At 43.0% G+C, this 19,884-nt stretch overlaps 1 protein-coding gene and 1 long non-coding RNA gene across 25 annotated transcripts in view; one reads left to right on the forward strand and one right to left on the reverse strand.

The window, feature by feature from the left end:
- DENND2B (DENN domain containing 2B) overlaps window positions 1–19,884 on the reverse strand; it is a 217,600-nt gene that overhangs the window by 84,144 nt on the left and 113,572 nt on the right. Inside the window, exon 1 of one of the 24 annotated variants that reach the window (NM_001376502.1) lies at window positions 17,192–17,349. The exons of the other annotated variants lie outside the window; for them this stretch is intronic. The gene's annotated coding sequence lies outside the window, so the exon portion shown is untranslated. Of the gene's footprint in view, window positions 1–17,191; window positions 17,350–19,884 lie in introns of those variants that run through there. 24 annotated transcript variants of the gene reach the window in all.
- Window positions 1–19,884, forward strand: part of DENND2B-AS1 (DENND2B antisense RNA 1) — a 41,499-nt gene that overhangs the window by 8,718 nt on the left and 12,897 nt on the right. Inside the window, exons 2-4 of the long non-coding RNA NR_120590.1 lie at window positions 6,524–6,713; window positions 7,661–7,967; window positions 9,559–9,791. This is a non-coding gene — a long non-coding RNA (DENND2B antisense RNA 1). The remainder of the gene's footprint in view (window positions 1–6,523; window positions 6,714–7,660; window positions 7,968–9,558; window positions 9,792–19,884) is intronic.

Here is a 19,884-nt window from a genome sequence, read left to right on the forward strand (position 1 = left end):
TCCTGTTGGACATTCCTTAGGCCTGTCACATATGGTCCAAGAAAGCAGTAAGATGGAAAAGAGAGACCAGCTAAGAGCTACTCCAAATGCCCACACCATCAGATGATCATCCCAAGTGTCAGAGATATCTGTGAATCAAGTGCTCAAAGCTACACACATTGGGAGTGCTCTAAAATTCCTATCAATACAGTTATTCTTTTTCCCAGAACCAGAAGAGGCTCTCTTGATGTAATCTTAGATACCAGGGAATATAATGTTCAACCCAGGGAAAAAAAAGAGAGAACACCTAACCCATCCCTACTTATATTTCCAGCAGTGGAGACTCACAGTCTTCCTCATCATCCATCCTCCCTGTAATCTACCTGAACCTCAAGTCTCTGAATAAGCTTATCTCACATGTGACTTAGCTGTTGCTTTTTATAGCATGAACTATTCAGCCTCCTACTAAGACCATCTTTTCCAGAGAGGCTGAATGGGTCTCAGTCTCTACTAAGGAAGCTCACATCCTTCAGGAGCTTACCCAAAACAACAGTCACATATTTAGGCATGCTGGCTTGTACAGCTCAGGTCAGCCAGAAAGGCCACAGCAGCTGCTGACCATTATACCACATGTGAGCACTAACGGGGATCAATGAGTCAAGCCTTGAAAGGGCAGAACAGAAGGAAAGAAGTTACCATTGGCCCTTGGATCACCAGCAACTAGCTCGAAAGAGTCTGCCTAATGAGGACTGCATCCAGCCATAACGAGCACCTAGTCTTTGAAGCCTGTGGCATCCAGACAGTATCACTTCCTACTTGACTGCTTTCAGGGGGCCTTCCACACAGCCACCCCTTACACTACACCCATCTCCAAGGCTGAAGAGAAGACCTAGTGCACACTATCTTGAGAGGCTTAGCCACACATTTCAGTCCCCGTCCACATCCACCCTCCCCCTGCCCCTGACAGCTCAAATATTCAGTCTCCACATGTGTCTATGTGCCTGTGTGTCTGTGTTTTATTTATACTACCCATGTCTGTTGTTAGCAACAGAAACAAAGTACTTTAAGGCAGAAAAGGCAAGTCTGCCAATTGGCTTGCTGCTCCCCGCCTGCTTCCAGCTCAGGGAAGGGCTGGTAAATGATCCCTCCAGCTCCAATCTACCATGTGTGCCTACAGCTCCCACGTACCCGGGGGCTGGGAGGCATGGTGCCAGTTTGGCCCACATTAGTCACTGCTGCATGGGGTGCCGGCCATCACCTCTCTCTCTTCTTCCCTGGAGGGCACACCCTGAACACCTGATTCTGTCACCTGCCTAAATGCTGATTACTGTCGAAAGGCAGAGCTTCAGAAGCCAGAATTCAAGAAACCCATGGTAAAGATGAAAGGGCAGTTCCTCCCCAGACTCAAGACTCTGGAGAACTAGCCCAGGCTAAGTTCTACTTTCACGTCTTTCCATTCCCACTTCAGTTTTTCTGCTACTGATAATCTTCCAAGTTCCAATAGCAGGCTCCCTAATAACATTGACAGTAATTATTGATCACCACTTTGTTTTAGCTGAGAGAACAAAACATGAGATGTGATTCTTACATGTGGGGAGCTCACAGACGAATGTAGGGCACTGAGACACAACAGCAAACGATGCAAGTGTGGGACACAAACTAGAAAGACAGGACAATGGAGTGGTGGAGGGGACAGAGCAGCTCTGGACGGGGCTTCTGTGGGAGAGGAAATGTGAGCCAGACTGTAAAGGACAAACAGTAGCTGGACAGAATGAGACAGAAGACTGTTTGAGATGAAGAATGAGACTATGACTCAAGGTCCCAAGGCAGAGAGAGTGGCAAATATCACACCCATAGCGTTTTTCTCACATTCAACTGAGGCTCAGCCCTAGCAGGTATGGAGGAAGGAAAGTGGTGTGACTTGGTAAAAACAGAACCCTCCCCTCTGGGTTACCATGCTCTCCAGCCTCTCTGCACCTACCTCTGCCAAAAGCATGCTCGGGGTTTCCTTTTTCTTTCTTTTCTTTCTTTCTTTCTTTCTTTTTTTTTTTTTTTGAGACGAAGTTTCATTCTTGTTGCCCAGGCTGCAGTACAATGGTGGAATCTCGGCTCACCACAACCTCTTACCTCCCGGGTTCAAGTGATTTTCTTGCCTCAGCCTCCTGAGTAGCTGGGATTATAAGCATGCACCACCACACCGGCTAATATTTTGTATTTTCAGTAGAGACAGGGTTTCTCCATGTTGGTCAGGCTGGTCTCGAACTCCTGACCTCAGGTGATCCGCCCCGCCTCAGCCTCCCGAAGTGCTCGGATTACAGGCGTGAGCCACCACGCCCGGCCAAGGTTTCCATTTTCTGTGCTACTCCAAAATCCTCTCCCTTGCATGTCATGGAATGCAGCCAGCCTAACTTCCTAAACTCAAAAACATCCCATTGAAATTCCTGGTACTCAAGGCTCCTGCTCCCACGGTAGGACAAGCTTCAGGCTCCCCCAGGTGCAGTGTGGGCCAGGAGCTTGAACTATTCCTGTGTTGGCCTGGGTCAAGCTGTGAGTCTGATTCTTTTCTCGCTAGAGCAGGAGAAGGGGGGCAGTATGAAATTGTAACTATGGTTCCTGGAAGCCAGGACAACCATCTTTCCTCCTTCCATTCATACTTACAGTCATGCATCCATTCAGCTAATATACACCAAACACCAACCATGCATAAGCCAATATGTTTAGTGCTGTTTGGACACCAAATGCATCAGGTATGGGTCCATCCTCAAGGAGCTTCCACTCTGTAGGGTGAATACAATAGACATATAAATCTCATAAATACCAGGAAGACTATTTTAAGTGCCATTAGAAAGATGAAATTAAGTGCCACTAGAGAGATGCCATTAGAGAGATACAATGTTGAAGCTTAGGTAGAAGGAGATTACTTCCAAATAAAGGATCAAGAACACTTTACAGAGAGGGTGACCCTTGTGCTAGGCCTGGAAGATCAAATGGCAAAAGAATACAGGGGTATTCCTACACAGATAGAACTACATGCACAAGGGCTTGGAAGCAGGAAAGCAGAAGACGTATGAAGGACAACAAAGTGTTTGTCAGTCTGATGGGAGTTTAATTGAAAGTAGACCAGGGAGAAAGAGAGTTGGAAAGACAGAGACATGTCGGCTCTTAGAGGCCTCTGAGAGCCAAATCAGGGATCTTAGTTTTTCTCTGGGGAATCACAGAAGTTTTCTGAGAAAAGAATGATGGGTCAGAGATTATGCTTCTGAAAGATGAAGCAATACTCAGAGGTCTAGGGGCTACGGCAGAAAAATCTGTTCAAGTGGTCCACGAGGGCTAATGATCACAGGAGGGACAAGGGAGAGAGAGAACTGAGGTAAGCAGCAAGTGCAGGATGAGAATTTCTACCTTTGAAGCTCAGGCTGAACAGAAAAATCAGTAGGCAGTGGCCAGGGTGGCTAAGAGGCTACACAGGCAGAGAAGAGCTGGAGAGCCAGCTCTTGGGAGGGGACAGCGAAGGAGTGGGAGGTGGAAACAGACAGGAGACCAGGGAAGGGAAGGGAATCTCCGAGTTCAGCATCCTAAAAGTGAAACTGCTCCAAGTGATAAAGCCAAAGGTACCCGAAGAGGAATAAAGACGAAGTCCTTAGAGTTGGAAGGATGGAGGGACTGTGAGGCCGGAGCATTGATGGATTCTCAGTATGAATCCTCAAATCCTAATTATGCCAAAAAGAGGACATATGAAGAAGGTTGTTAACAGTTAGCCTGAAGTCAATAGGCAGGTAAGGGCACCAAGAGTGAGCAGAGGAGGGACTAACTTCTCATGGGAAAGGTTGCCAGCCCGGGCTTGGAAGCAACGTGGGGAGTTCAGAGCGAGAGTTGGGAGGAGGTGAGGTGGCTTCATTGGAGAGGGTCACAAGGAAAGTAAGATCTTCAGGGAAAAGCCAGCTTTTGGCTATAACAAAGAGGTAGGAATGTTCTAGGAAAAGCCACCAAAGAAGGGGCAATACCACTTTTTGTCTATTACACTGGGCAAGATGATAAAACTATTCCCAGAGTCAGGCAGGGTGTGGCAAGCTGGGCACTCTCATATACTGTTGGATGTTCTGTAAACCAGTATAATTTTTCTGGAAAACAATTTAGGAATACACACACACACACACACACACACACATAACCTCACAAGGATAACCTATACAAAGTTAAAAGATAAGCCACAGACAGGAAGAAAATAATTACAGAGCACATAACTGACAAGTGATTAAAAATCAGAACATATTAAGAACTTCTAAAGGAAAAAGACGAAAACCCAACTGAAAAATAAGTAAAAGATATGAACAGAGAATTCAAAGAAAATAAAATATTGCTCAATCTCTTTGATAAATTGGGAAAATGCAAATTAAAGTGATGAGATATTATATCATACTTAGACTGGAAAATACTGAGAAGCATGGGATCTCCAAGTGTTAGCAAAAATAAGGGGAAATGAACACTTATATACATTGGTGGTAAACACATAACAACTACTATAGAGAACAATCTGGAATTACCTAGTAAAGCTAAAGAATCATACTCCCCACCACATCACTTCCATTCCTAGGTAGCTGGCGTACACAAACTCTTGCACAGTCATTACAATAGTGTCTGTAATACACAAAAATTAGACTTTAACCATTTCTCACTGCCATATAATGGTGCATTATACACCAATTAAACCAAATGATTTTACACATGAAAACTTTTTAGAAATGACTTTGAATGAAAAAAAATCAACCTGCAAAAGGTTTGCCTGCAAGAATAGTATCATGTGTATAACATTTTAAAACACAATACTATACATTATTTATGGACACATGTATGTAAAAGGATAAGATATGCACAGTAATGAGGCTTTTATCAGTATCAGGAGGAGGAAAGGACTGCAGAAAGCTTTAGTCATATTTGTCCAATTTTTTTTCCTGAGCCTCCAAGCATGAGTACATATTTGTCAAACTTAAAAAAAATTTATGTTAACAGATCTGAAGCCAATATGGTACAGTGTTACATTTATGAAATTTGGATGATGGGTACATAGATTTTTATTATATTAACCTTTCACTTTTCCATATACTTTTCCAAGTTTTAAAAGATATTGTTGGCCGGGCGCAGTGGCTCACGCCTGTAATCCCAGCACTTTGGGAGGCCAAGGCAGGCAGATCACGAGGTCAGGAGATCAAGATCATCCTGGCTAACACGGTGAAACCCCATGTCTACTAAAAATACAAAAAAATTAGGCGGGCGTGGGGGTGGGTGCCTGTAGTCCCAGCTACTCGGGAGGCTGAGGCAGGAGAATGGCATGAACCCAGGAAGCAGAGCTTGCAGTGAGCCGAGATCACGCCACTGCACTCCAGCCTGGGCAACAGTGTGAGACTCTGTCTCAAAAAAAAAAAAAAAAAAAAGATATTGTTAAATAATTTAAGTATATTACATAGCTTTCGAACCAGTAATTCCATTTTTAGAAACTTCTAGCAATAACTATCCTGAAGTTATACAAGTAGGCACAGCTATACAGATATGTAGATATTTGCCACCACTTACCTTTTTTTTTTTTTTTTTTTTCCCAAAGAGATGGGGTCTCGCTCTATTGCCCAGATTGGAGTGCAGTGGCACAATCACAGCTCAACATAGCCTCCAACTCCTGGGTTCAAGTGATCCTCCCACCTTAGCCTCTTGAAAAGCTGGGACTACAGGCATGTAGCACCACACCAGCTAATTTTTTACTTTTTTCTAGAAATAGCATCTCACTACGTTGCCCAGGCTGGTCTCAAACTCTTAGCCTCAAGCAATCCTCCTGCTTTGGCCCACATAGCTATTAATAACAGAAACAACCCAAAAGTCCATCGTCAGGTTAACTAAATAACAATTCATCCATACAATGTAATTCTATGCAGCATTAAACATTATAGAGTAGCTCTGTATGTACTGTCTGTGGAATATATCCAAGTAATATTAGTCAGAAAAGTAGGTTACAAAATATAAGTGAAAAATGATGGCACTTTGGGGGAAAAAGCAATATATGTTAACACATATGAAGAAGATCCCAAAGGACAAGATACACCACAAATTAACAATAATTATGCTATAGGGGATTATGTGACTTTTACTTTCTTCCTAATATTTTTTGTTATTGTCCAAATATTCCTCAATGAGCATGTATTTCTTTTATTAGAAAAATCAATAAAGCTAGTTAATTTCACGCAAAAAGAAAATAAGGACAATCTGGTAATAGCAGATGAGTTTTACTTGAAATAACGGAAAAGGTAAGCAGAAAAAGAGGGAGATATCATAGACAGAAGTATAACAAAAGCTCTACCGAAACGAAGAGCCAGGAGGAAGAGCAAGGCTTAGAGGTTTTCATCCAGGTTGGGCATTTTCAGCAACAAGAACAAAGAAGGCAAGAGTGAGGAGGACAGCTGGGAGAGCTGTTTGTGACTGAAGAGCAGAGAGTACAGACAGAACTACACAGTTCTCAAATTCCATACAAAATTTTAATACGTTTTTCACTTCACAGATTCTGAACCTGCCACAGGACCAGCTCCTTTGGTGAGCGAAGTGTGTGAGCGAAGGAAAGATTCTTGGGTAGAACTTCATAAAGTCTGTCATAAGATCAGCCCCAGAGGAGGAGACTTTTCAGATCCCATCCCTCATACACATTCAGAAGGCCAAGGAAACACCCTCAGGATTGAACTATGATAAAGAAGGTAACCAATAGCCTGGACAACACAGGGAGACCCCATCTCTACCGAAAAAAAAAAAAAAAAACATTAGCCAGGCATGGACAGGGAGGTGCATGCCTGTGGTCCCTGCTATTTGGGAGTCTGAGGTAGGAGGATCACTTGAGCCCAAGAGGTCGAGGCTGCAGTGAGTGGTGACTGTGCCACTGTACTCCAGCCTTGGCAATAGAACAAGACCCAGTAACAAAAAAAAAAAAAAAGGGTGTCAAAGGAGACAAAAGCAATGACATCACAGTGGCCTTAGTTTAGCCTACACAACCAGCAACTCTGTTTCTCTAGAATTGGTGAGATAATGAGAAGCTGAAGAAACAGATGGGTAGGTGCAGTGGCTCATGCCTGTAATCCCAGCACTTACGGAGGCCGAGGCGGGTGGGTCACCTGAGGTCAGGAGTTCGAGACCAGCCTGGCCAACATGGTGAAACCCTGTTTCTACTAAAAATACAAAAATTAGCTGGGCGTGGTGGCGCACGCCTGTAATCCCAGCTACTTGGGAGACTGAGGCAGGAGAATGGCTTGAACCTGGGAGGTGGAGGCTGCAGTGAGCCGAGATTGTGCCACTGCACTTCAGCCTGGGTGACAAAGTAAGACTCCTTCTCAAAAAAAAAAAAAGAAAAGAAACAGAGTGAGAAAAAAAGTGGGCTGGTAAGCCAGCGGGTAATCATAAGCCGATCTTGTGTTTAGGCAAATACGAAACATCTACAACTTGAAACTAAACAGGGAAGTAATGGCTCTGTGGCCACCTATGATGCAGCATGGAAGTTCTACTGGCACGTGTCTTCTTTCTGGATGTAGTACCCCCTCTAACACAGCCGCCACATGGTAGAGTAGTTGCTAAGAAGCCACAGGAAGGTACAACATCTAAGATGCCACGGGTGTCCATTGAAATTAAGCCATCCTTTTACTTTTACCCCTAGGCTTTTGGACTTGGACCTCATCCAAGGAGCTGGCTGCCTGCACTTTCACAGACCGTCAGCTTCATCCCCAGGCCCCAAATCCTGAATTTGCCGTGTCAATGAAAAACCATCATCAGCTTTTCTTTACATTAAAAACTGATTGTGATCATAGCAGTTTTTCCTGTTTTCTGGGATCACTGCTGCGAAGAGGAAAAGTCACCAGAGGATAAAATGACACACACGCAAACTCTTCTGTGGCTGAAATTCCCCTCACTCTTCCTGCCTCTAACCGAAAAGGAGGATACAGACCAAGGAGCACTTCATGAAGGTAGTCGCCTCCCTGCCCTGCTGTTTTTCACCTTCAGGAAGAATCACTCCCTCCCAAGTAGGACCTCTCCCTGGTCACTATAATCCCATGATTTGTAATGTGGGCTTCATTCCGCAAAAGCCCAGGGCTGGTGTTATCTAGGAGTGATGGCAGTCATTTCCAGATCATGAGCAGTCGCACAGATAAGGCAAAGGGCAACTCCTGCCTAGCATGTGTGACCCAAGAGATGACAGAGAAGAGAAGGGAGGAATGCACTCCTTCACCTGGTCCCTCAGCACTGAGCCAGCCTCCCATTTGTACATGGAAGGAAAGGCCAATACCTGATACTTAAGAAAGAATTAACTGTTAGGTCAGCCCCCTTCCCTCCCAGGCTAGTATAAGGATTAAACAAAATAATGTTCTAATAGAAGCAAGAATACAAGTTACATGGCTCTAACTTGGCTCCAATTTCTAGCTGGTAGGAAGTCAATCCTTTTACCTGTTTTCCAAAGTCTATGGGTCTGCCTTTAGTTGGAAATACAGAATATAGAAGCTATTACAGAACTCGGGGTCTTGAATTACTGTCCAACTCTTCACAAAATTCCATCTGAAAGAAGTGATATTTAAGGAAGACTGTCTAAGGGGTATGATATAAATCCATGCCCCTGCATATTTTAGGCTCCATTTTCTAGCAGATCACCTGAAAGCTACACAGATGTCATTAGCTCAGCTCCTCACAGAGTGGTTTTCACTAAGTTGCAATTTCATGTAAAACATCTGCATTTTGTCTGCAGTCTCTGTGAGAGCTATAGAAAACCAAGACTGCATAAGCACTGGTTATAAAAATAGCAAGGAAACTGTCGCTGTAGTGGTAAAAACAAGAAAAAAATAAATAAATAAAACATACTTCTTGGTTTAAAAAAAGTAAAAATTACTATTATATCATTCAATATTGCCTTACATATCCATATAAATTTCATTAAAACATGAAACTCATTTAAATAACTTTGTCCTTTGAGAAAGTGGTATGTTGACTGCCAAGGAGAAGGCCATTCACAGCAATCACGTTAATGAACAGGATTAGGAAGGCCAGGCATGGTGGCTCATGCCTGTAATCCCAGCACTTTGGGAGGCCAAGGCGGGAGGTCTCTTGAAACCAGGACTTTGACATCAGGCTGGGCAACATGGCAAGAACCCATCTCTACAAAAAGTTTAAAAATTAGCTGGGCATGGTGGTGCACCTCTGGAGTCCTAGCTACTCAGGAGGCTGAGGCGGAAGGATCACTTGAGCCCAGGAGGTCGAGGCTTCAAGGCTGCAGTGATCTTGACTGCGCCACTGCACTCCAGCCTGGGCGACAGACCAAGACAATGTCTCAAAGAAAACAAACAAACAAACAACAAAAAAAAACAAGATTAGAACAGCTGCATGCTCTCCTTTTCTTCGGTGCTGATGTTATTTCTGTTTCTATGTTATTAACATGACTATGGCCTCTCTTTACCAGTTATCTACTGTGTGCCAAGCATTGTTCCCAGGTGTTAATTATGTTAATTCATTTAATACTGTAACACAATCCTATGAGGTAAATGTTACCAATTCTATTTTACCAAACAGGAAAACCAAGGCCCAAGTCATACAGCTAGTAAAAGGAGGAGCCACAATTCAAACCAGGACTGATTTCAAAATTCGCATTCCTTCCACTATGCCATGGAAAGTACAGTAGGGTGTTTTTATGTCAACTGCAGCCAGACACATCAATTTTCTCCTCTGAGAGGACAGGATATAAATCTGAAGAAACAATGTATATGAAAATATGCTCTATGCTATAAGGCAAGATTTATATGTAAGTAAGTATCATCATCCTCAAGGAGAAGATGCATAAAGCAGAGCTGACAGTTTTCTTTTTCATTTTTTTTTTTAAGAGACAGGGACACGTTTCCCAGCCTAGGCTGGACTTGAACTCCTGGGCCAAGCGATCCTCCCGCCTCAGCCTGCTGAGTAGCTGGGACTACAGGCACATGCCATCATGCCAGGCCAGAACTGGCATTTCTGCTGCACACACACCAGTAAACTCAGCAGGAAGTGAACTCTAAACATAGCCTAAGAGGAGAACTTTTCTCTCAACACTAAAACTCATAAAAACACGTAAGCAAGTGTGTCGGTCAGTCACTCCCTTAAACACAGGTGTCTGGCAAGATAGTGAGAAATCATCCCACGTCTAACGTCCATGGGCACAGACTCCTGTTTGCTTCAGAATCCAGGAGATGCTGGCATTTGGCCAGGTAGGCCTTCTTTTCTCTCAACTCCCTTTTAATCTCATCTCCTTCAGTGATGATCATTCTCAAAGAATTATTTCAAGAGACACTATCTTTGAGAAGAAGAATTATTTCAAGTTTTAATTTCTAGCTCATCTACAAATCCACGACTTTTTGAAATCAAAGCTCTCCAAAACTCTGACACCTACAATGTGCTTCTTTCCTCTAAGTTTGATGGCTATTACCTAGGAGACATGCATGCCTTCCCTGGTAGTTTAGAGACAAAGTTTGGAATATGATGTGCTCAGAAAAGGGGTCACTCTACCTTTAGTCCTGGGCATCAAGGGCTTTCTAGATGTTTAAGAGGGAAGTGGTCGCCAGCAGCAAGAAAATGCTGGGGTGGGTTCTCTGGACCACTGCTTCACTCAGGGACGGCCACCCCTTCTCTACTCAACCCATCCAAACCCTGTAAGTGAAGTGTAAAGAATGCAACACAGATCTTCACAAAGACTACCTACCAAAACAAACCCCAACCAGAAAAGCATTGGGGTTACTATGCAAAGGGATCCCTCAGGGATAAAACAGGAAGAGGGGCTCACTGCATTTCCTCTCAAGGGCTCCTGCTTCAACCCCACCTATGTATCACAATTCTTTTCCTCTTCAGTATTAACCCCCTACCTCATTAATTTCCTCCACTCCAACCAGTGGGCAGCAATGTCCAACAGAGCACAATACATTTAAAACTGTTTAGAATGGTTGTCTTGCACTTTTCTCACCTTGTCTTCTTCCACCACTGGCTAAGCTTTCAACCGATTCCACAGTGCCCCAGCTCTGCAGTAAAGCAACTACCCCACATCTTCAAACTCTTCACAGAATTGTGCACCATCTCCTGCCCTCACACACACCAGGCTCTCCCTGAGGGCGCTCTCTCCACCCTGGCAACTTCAATAGCTATGTGGATGGATCCACTCAAAACTCTTAGCTCACAACTGATTCCCTGACATCAATTCCACTTCCACTTGAGTCACCCACACTTTTGCACAAACCCTGAACCTGGCGTACCCATCTCAAAACCTTGCCCTCTACTGTCTGACCACAATTTCCCTTCCTGTCTATCTTTTGACCATTCACTACCTGACAGCTGCTCTCTGAACTTGGCCAGGCCTCTGTTCCCTTAGGCCTTTTTCCTAGAGTATATCAGCCACCTCTTGGCCTTTCCTTCTGCCAATCCAGGCTGAAATCCATGATTCATCACAAATGGATCCATCTCAAATCCACAGCTCCTTTCTCTTTCCACTGTACCTACCTAAAAAGCTCTAACTATGGTATTCTCCATTCCTTTGTAAGCACACCTAAAAATTGCTAGTCAGATACCACACATCCAATACACTTCTGAAAGGCCTTTTGGAGATACATTCTGAAGCATTTATGGAGGAAATGGTATGATGCCTGGAGTTTGCTTCACAAAATTCAGTGGTAAAAAAGGAAGAGTACTGGACAAGAATAGAAATAAAACAAGCTAGTTCATGTGTTAATAGTCATAGTTATTAGTTAATAGTTACAGATAATGGTTGAAGCTGGATGGTGGACACAGCAGTAGTCATCTATTCTCTCTACTTTGGTTATGCTTGGTATTTTCCATAACAAAAAGTTTAACAATAAAACAACTTACGTGCAAGATTAATGGGGAACAATGCCAAAGGTCACACACAGATTACCTGCTAGTCACAAAATGAAAACTATAATTTCACGATGGAGAAATTTAGCTGATCCTACCTTAACCAGTAATCAAACTTAGCATCAATAATAATGGGCCAGCCAAACATCATGTGCCTCTGATCTGCTGCATCATTCATAAAGGGTTGTTTTCTCCCTAAAATGCTTAACCTAAATCTAATCAGGTCTCTAGATCTAAGTTACAGTTTATAGAATACACAGGGCAGAGAGGAAGAACCTGAACAATACCCCAAAGAAACAATCAGACAAATCCATAATGTGAAAAGTGAATTCATGTTAAGAAATAAGAAGTGTCTAAAACTGAACTCCCAGCCTGGGCAACACAACAAGAGCCCCATCTCTACAAAAAATAAAAAAATAAAAAAATAGCAGATTTAGCAGAGTGTGGTGGCACATGCCTGTAGTCCCAGCTACTCAGGAGGCTGAGGCCCCCACCATCTAACTAAAACTATCCAAGAAGACCCCGAGCAACAACCCCAGAACCAGGCAAGTATTGTGGTTTTAAGCCACTATGTTTTGGGGTGGTCTGGTAGGCAGGACACTGGTAAATCCAGCCTTTCAAGAGCCAGCCCTGAGACCTGTCTCTGGAGTCTTATCTTGACACTCCTCAATCTACCCTGCCAAGGACAACAAACACGACCAACTGGGACTTCCCTGCACACTCTACACTTACAGCTTCACTCCTGTCTTTGTGCATGCAAATCCTTCTACCTGGAATGCCCCTCCCTGCCCTGTCTCCTTATAAAGGAACTATGCCTCCTTCAAAATCTGTACCAGCACCATTTCCTCTGTGAAACCATGCCCTCCTTTTCCCCACTCTCCTCCCACCAGTAACTCAATTAATCCTTTCCTCCCAGTGAAACATCTAGGGTGGCATAAACTGCAATGCAGTATACTGGCTTTTCATATGTCTTGTCCATTAAACTATTAAGTTCCAAGAAGGTAAGTGCTATATGTCTGTGCGCTGGTCCTGCAGGGGCCTAACGAATGTATGCTGATTGGAAGTGGTTTCTCCTGCTTCCTTACTTAGCCTATTTCTACTAAAAACATTTCTGGGCCAGGCACAGTGGCTCACACCTGTAATCCCAGCACTTTGGGAGGCTGAGGTAAGAGGATCACTTGAGCCCAAGAGTTCGAGACCAACCTCGGCAACACGGCAAGGCCCCATCTCTACAAAATTTTTAAAAATTAGCCAAGCATGGTGGTTCGTGCCCATGATCTCAGCTTCTCCAGAGGCTGCAGTGGGAGGATCACTTGAGTCCAGGAGGTAGAGGCTGCAGTGAGGTGTGATAGCATCACTGCACTCCAGCCCGTGCAACAGAGCAAAGAAAGAGAGCAGTCTCAAAGAAAAATTCTGTTTAAGCCCCTGGCTGATGGAGCAGAAATGATGCTCGCTAAATCCTGCTTTTCTCGGTCTCCTAAACTCTAACTTTTCTTTTCTGAGTTCGCAAGTTCACAACCCTTGGAAAAACAACCCCAGGTTGATCCAGCACTAAAAGCTGCCTTTTAAAATACAGTTAGGTGGGACCTGACTAGCTTAGTGTCTGGGACATAAGTAGGTACTAAATAAACATTATTTCTTTTCCTTCTCTCACTTCAAAAACCTTCCTGAATCTGTTCCCAAAGCAGCTCCATTTCCTCACACCTTTCAAGCTGCTCTTCTCCAAAAGCCACACCCTTTCTGGGTCTTAATACCTGCTTAGACTTTGGCCTACTGCCTCTCCTCAGTACCAGCTGCCCACCTGCTGCCACCTCAGCCAGGGTGAGCTCATCAAAGCAGGTAAAATTTTTAAGGGAGAAGCTTCTACGTCACAAGATCTAGGTCCAGCATGTCAATACAATTGCACATAGGAAGCACTGGAAAGTTTTGCAAAGGGGATTCATGCAACTATCCCCAAACATTAACAAAAGAAATCTGGTTGTATCGTATATAGGATAAGAGAAAACAAACAAAAAACAGGATTAGGAATCAGAAGACTTGGGTGAAATTTTTAATCTGCCTCTCTCACTAAAGGCTTTTTTTTTGTAAACTTAATCAGAAATATTCTTTTAAGCCAGGCACAGTGGCTCACACCTTGTAATCCCAGCAATTTGGGAGGCCGAGGCAGGCGGATCGCTCAAGGTCAGGAGTTCAAGACCAGCCTGGGCAACTAGTGAAACCCCATCTCTACTAAAAATACAAAAAATTAGCCGGGTATGGTGGCATGTGCCTGTAGTCCCACCTACTTGGGAGGCTGAGGCATGAGAATCATTTGAACCTGGGAGGAGGAGGTTGCATGAGCTGAGATCATGCCACTGCACTCCAGCCTGGGCTACAGAGCAAGACCCTATCTCAAAAAAAAAAAGGAATATTTCTTTAATGTCACAGAAAATGTTTTTAATTGTTATGGTACATCCTTAAGTGAAAAGAAGTTCACAAATTTTTAGTAAAGAAAAAATTTAATAGAAAAAAAGGTTATCTTAGGTTTTCTTATCAACAAAATGTAATTCCTGCTGGGCATGGTGGCTCATGCCTGTAATCCCAGCACTTTGGGAGGCCAAGGCGCGTGGATCACCTGAGGTCAAGGAGTTCAAGACCAGCCTGGCAAACATGGTGAAACCCCGTCTCTACAAAAATACAAAAATTAGCTGGGCATGATGGTGGGTGCCTGTAATCCCAGCTACTTGGGAGGCTGAGGCAGGAGAATTGCTTGAATCCGGGAGGCAGAGGTTGCAGTAAGCTGAGATCGTACCATTGCACTCCAGCCTGGGCAACAGAGTGAGACGCTATCTCACACACACACACACAAATAAAGAAAATTTAGTTACTACTTCTCTCCTTACAGCAAAATTAATTACAGTTTAAATGTAAAAACTGGAACCAAGAAAACACTAAAAGAAAACATGAATAAATTTTTTTTTGTGATTCTGACAAGTGAAGAAGATTTTTCCAAGTATGACAGAAAATTCAACTCCACAGCCGAGAAGCGAGATGAGGGGAAGCACCTTGAAGGAAAATATTTGCCTAAATAAAAATGTAAAACATGTGAAAGGCAAATAATTAGCATAAACAAAGTCAAAAAAAATTTTTATTGGGGGAAAAATTATCAGCAACACATATGGCAAAGAGTCCTAATGCCGTATGTATGTAAAAGCTCTCACAAGTCTACAAGATAAAATAGTGACCAAAGAGAAAAATTAACAATGTATTTGAGCAGAAAATTTACAAAGGAATAAAATCAACTACCAGAAAGATAAAAAGATGCTAATTTCATTAATAACTGAAGACATCCTAAATAAAGTAACAATAAGAAATCCTTTTTCACCTATCAGATTGGCGAAGAGTAAAAAAATGTATAACACCTGTGTTGGGCCAGGGCGCAGTGGAAAGAGGCACCTCCATACCCTGCTGATGAGAAGTACACTGATGCAACCTCTTTGGAAGGCAGTTTGGCAATTTAACATTTATAATGAGCACACCCTTTGATCAGCAAATCTTTCCTTCTAGGAATTCTGCCTAAGGAAATAAAATACAAGTACTAGGACACATGGGCAAAGACAGCTGGATACTGCTGTTCATTACAGTACTGCATATAACAGGAACAACTGAGAAACAATTCAATTGTCCGTCAAAAGGGGCTTGGTTAAATAAATTATGATACATCCCTCTGAAGAAATGCAATGCTGCTCCTTAAAAGCACATACTGAGGTAGAAAAATATCCTAGGTAAATTACAAGTGATATGTTTTTCAGTACAGTATAATCTTTTCTTTCCATTTTTTAATTGCAGTAAAGTATATAAAATTCCCCATTTAAAAGTGTACAATTCAGTGGCATTAACTATGTTCACAATGTTGTGCAACCATTACCACTATTTCCCAAACTTCTCCAAACAGTAACTCCGCAATGATTAAGCAATAACTCCCCATTCTCCCCTCTCCCCAAGCTCCTGGTTTACCTCTAATCTATTTTCCTGTCTCTATGAATTTGCCTTTTCTAGATATTTTATATAAGCAGAATCACAAAATATTTGTGCTTTTATATACGGCTTATTTCAGTTAGGGCAGCATTTTCAAGGTTTATCTACATTGTAGTATGCATCAGAACTTCCTTCCTTTCACAGCTGAAGAATAGTCCACAGTCTGTATTACTGTGTTTATACATTTTCTTTGCACATTGTTTGTACATTTTGTTTATTCGTCAGTCAGTGAACATTTGGGTTGTTTCCACCTTCTCGCTGCTGTGAATAATGCTGCAATGAACACTGGCATGCAAGAATCTGAGTCCTTGTTTTCAATTATTTTGGGCATATACCTAGGAGTGGAATTGCTGGGTCATATGGCAATTTGGGGCTTTTTGGGGAATAATCAAACTTTCCCACAGCAGCTGCACCGCTAACACTCCCACTAACAATGTATGAGGATTCTAACTTCTCTACATTCTCACCAACACTTCTTACTTTCCATTTTTTTAAATTAAGAGCATAAACTTTTCGTGTAAAACTAAATGTACATAAAAATGCATCATTTAAAGAATCTTTATGGCTCAAGGATGTTAGTTTAAATATATAAATAAAAAATATAAATAAATAAAAAACCCAGTGCTACCCAACTGTTAACAATAACTATTTTTCTGGGGCATGGGTTTATAGAAGATGCTCATATTCTGCCTTACGTATTCCCCATTTTGCAAAAGTTTTTAGAACACCTGGTGTTGCTTTTGTTATTTTAAAAAATGTCTTAAACAAAAGTTAGCCAGATAGACGGTTTGATGCCTGCCTGCTAATGTGAAACACAGTTTCAGTGTTACATACACAGCAAGGCCCTAAATGGGCAGAGGTGAGAAGACCTGAGTCCCAGTCCCCACTCTGCCACCCTGAGCACTCTGTATTCTCACCTCTCAACTCCCAGGCACCTAGGACTGAATCCAAGTTCCCAGTGAGCATCCGCAAAATAGACGACAGCTGTGTGGACCCACCCACGTGGTCCTTCCACCCCGGGGACAGCACTGAGGCTACAGGAGCCCCAGGTGGGTTGTCTCAGGCTATGTATGGGTAGCCGTCTCCCTTCCTACATTGAAACAGAATTCTACAGTTGTACTGAACTAATGAAGGAAGGTAAGAAAAGGAGAGCTCGGGGAAAACCTGCGAGTCATGGACTATGAAGGAAAATGAAGGCCTTCCCCGCAAAGAAAGAAGCAAGCCCAGAAAAGAATTCAAGAAATGATGATGCCAAGGAGGACAGGGCAGCTGACATTGACTAATGCAAGTGTCTCACCTGAAGCCACAGGTGCTGAAGTAGACAGCAAAGGGCAGTGCCTGGAGCCACACTGCTCTGTGGGAACCATCCCAAGGTCACCTGCTCAGGCAGCAACAAGGAGAAAACCCAGCCTCTGTGGGAAGAGGCACTGAGGCCTGGGGAAGTGAAAGTCAAGTGAAATCCTTCCCCTCTTCCAGGTGTTCTCAGCCTTTCGGCTGCCAACTGTGGACTTTGCCCTTGAAATTCAACTCCTGGCCTAAAGAGATAATCTCCCAGGCATGTCCTGTGTAAATTTGGCTAATCAACAGAACACATTCTGTGCAGCCCCTGCTGGCTGTCCCTGAAACAGCCCTGCCAGCCAGTAGTAGTGCTGACTGGCGGGGGGAAGCTTTTCCTGGCAGAAATGCCACCAATCCTAATGAAATCAAGTGCCCAGGATGGGCATTTTCCAAAAATCAGACAAGCATCTGTTTAAAGACGAGCACATACCTGGAAATCTCATCCAGAAGTGATACGGATTTGGTGAGAAGAGTCATTGAGAGCATGGACCTTTACCAGGCTTTGTTGATGTTTTAGAGTAAGCCACCTAAGAACATCTAAAGTAAAGCTTTGTAGACATGAAATTCTGGGTCAGTAAAAGAAAGCAAGCCAATTAACATCTGGCCCTCATACCCTTATTGGCATCTCAGCTGCCAAGCCTCTTAAGCAGTGGTTCTCAAAGTGGGGTTCCCAGCCAACAGTAGCAGCATCACTTCCAAACTTGTTAAAAATGCAAATTTTTACTAAAAAATTTCTACTAAATTGGTTAACAAGCTCTCCAGGTGAGTTTGGTGCACAGTCAAGTCTGAAAACCACTGCTCTACGGGCTCTAGAAAGCTCTGCAATCTGGAGTTCTGATCCCGCCCACCCTGAGACTTCCCTTACTTTCTGCTCTAAATGAATTTTGAGGGACTGGAATATCATCCTCCAGTTACAGCCAATAAAATAGGCAAGTTTCCTCCCACTCCATTTCCATCTTCTACATGGTCTCCTAGGTTTCTTTTCTACAAATCATATTCAAATGTGTTTCCTTCCTGCTTCCTGGGGAAAGTGATTCCCCGCTTTCTGGATGGTTCAATCCCTTAAAGATCTGACCTCAGCCAGTCTTTCCAGCCTCATCTTCCAACCCATCTGTGTGTCCCTGCTCATGGCAGATGACCATTCAATGTCTGCTCATTGTGAATCAGTGATGAAGACCATCTGAACAACACCCTGTAAAGGAACCTTTCCCAACTACATTATCTTTCCTTCAGAAGCAAGTCTGTTACTGAAACAGACTGGGAAGGGGAGACAGGAAAGCAAAATCCAGTGACTTACCAAAGAAATTCCTCTGTTTTCTAGCAATCTATGCTAAATCTGAAATTCAGTCTCACCCTGCTCTGCCCTTCACAAACTATTCCATCTAAGCAGGCTGATTGGGCTGACCACAGATCTCATGAACACCAAGGAATGAGAGTTTATAAACACTGCATACATTTTCATTTCAGAATCCCGGGCCTTCACTACTGATAGAATCCAAACAGGATCAAACCTTTAAAAAAAAAGAAGTATGGACCGGACACAGTGGCTCACGCCTGTAATCCCAGCACTTTGGGAGGCCAAGGTGGGCAGATCACCTGAGGTCAGGAGTTCAAGACCAGCCTGGCCAACATGGTGAAACCCTCTCTACAAAAATACAAAAATTAGCCAAGCATGGTGGCGTGTGCCTGTAATCCCAGCTACATGGGAGGCTGAGGCAGGAGAATGGCTTTAACCAGGCAGGCAACGGTTGCAGTGAGCCAAGACCATGCCACTGCACTCCAGCTTGGGTGACAGAGAATCCATCTCGAAAAAGAAAAAGAAGTATCAACCCATAGAAACTAGTCAATGTTCAATTTCCAAGAAGTGAAATTTGTGGCCTGATACATTTCTTTTCTCAAACATTTCCAACAAACTTGAAGACTCTAGAAGAGATCTGTACGCTAGGAAATCAGGGTTTATTTACAAACACTAGTTTACTGACAAATTACTTACTTTTTCCAAAAGTAAATTCCATCTTCTTATACAATAGGGGGAATTGCAATCTAAGACATCTAACTACTTATGGAGCGTTAAGGAGAAAGGCCATTTTTTTCCTGCCCAGAGGGAGAGATGTAAGTCAGGTTAACTGCTTCCAAGTCTTGCCACAGCCCCACCCTCCCCAGTTGTTTATATGGACTCGCATTCTCAGTATTTAACCAGGTACCCCTTTCAGAGAAAGCTAAAAAAAACTCATTCAATTCTGCAAACATTCAAAATGTGACCATAAATAACACATAGTGATACAAAGGAAAAAACTCATTAGATGTTCTAGATAACCAAAGAAGAGCTGCATTTGATATACCAACCAGAGTGGAAGTGTGGCAAGAACACATGCTTGGAATCAAACAGCCTTAGATTTAGATTTTAAGCAAGTTAGCTACTCCACATCCCTGCAGATGTTACAACATCAACAAATTAACTCACAGATCATTGTAAGGATTTACTAAAACAATGAAATAAAAATGCCTAGTATAACACAATGCTTAGAACAGAGTAAACATTACACTAATGTCTTACCGCTAACCTAAAATCTGCAGAAAATTTAAAAATACATAGTGCTTGATCCCAAGAAGTATGCAGACTATATTAATTCGACTTCCTTAGCTAAGCAG

The sequence above is a fragment of the Homo sapiens genome, chromosome 11, assembly GCF_000001405.40.
Source record: "Homo sapiens chromosome 11, GRCh38.p14 Primary Assembly".
Classification (NCBI taxonomy): domain Eukaryota; kingdom Metazoa; phylum Chordata; class Mammalia; order Primates; family Hominidae; genus Homo; species Homo sapiens.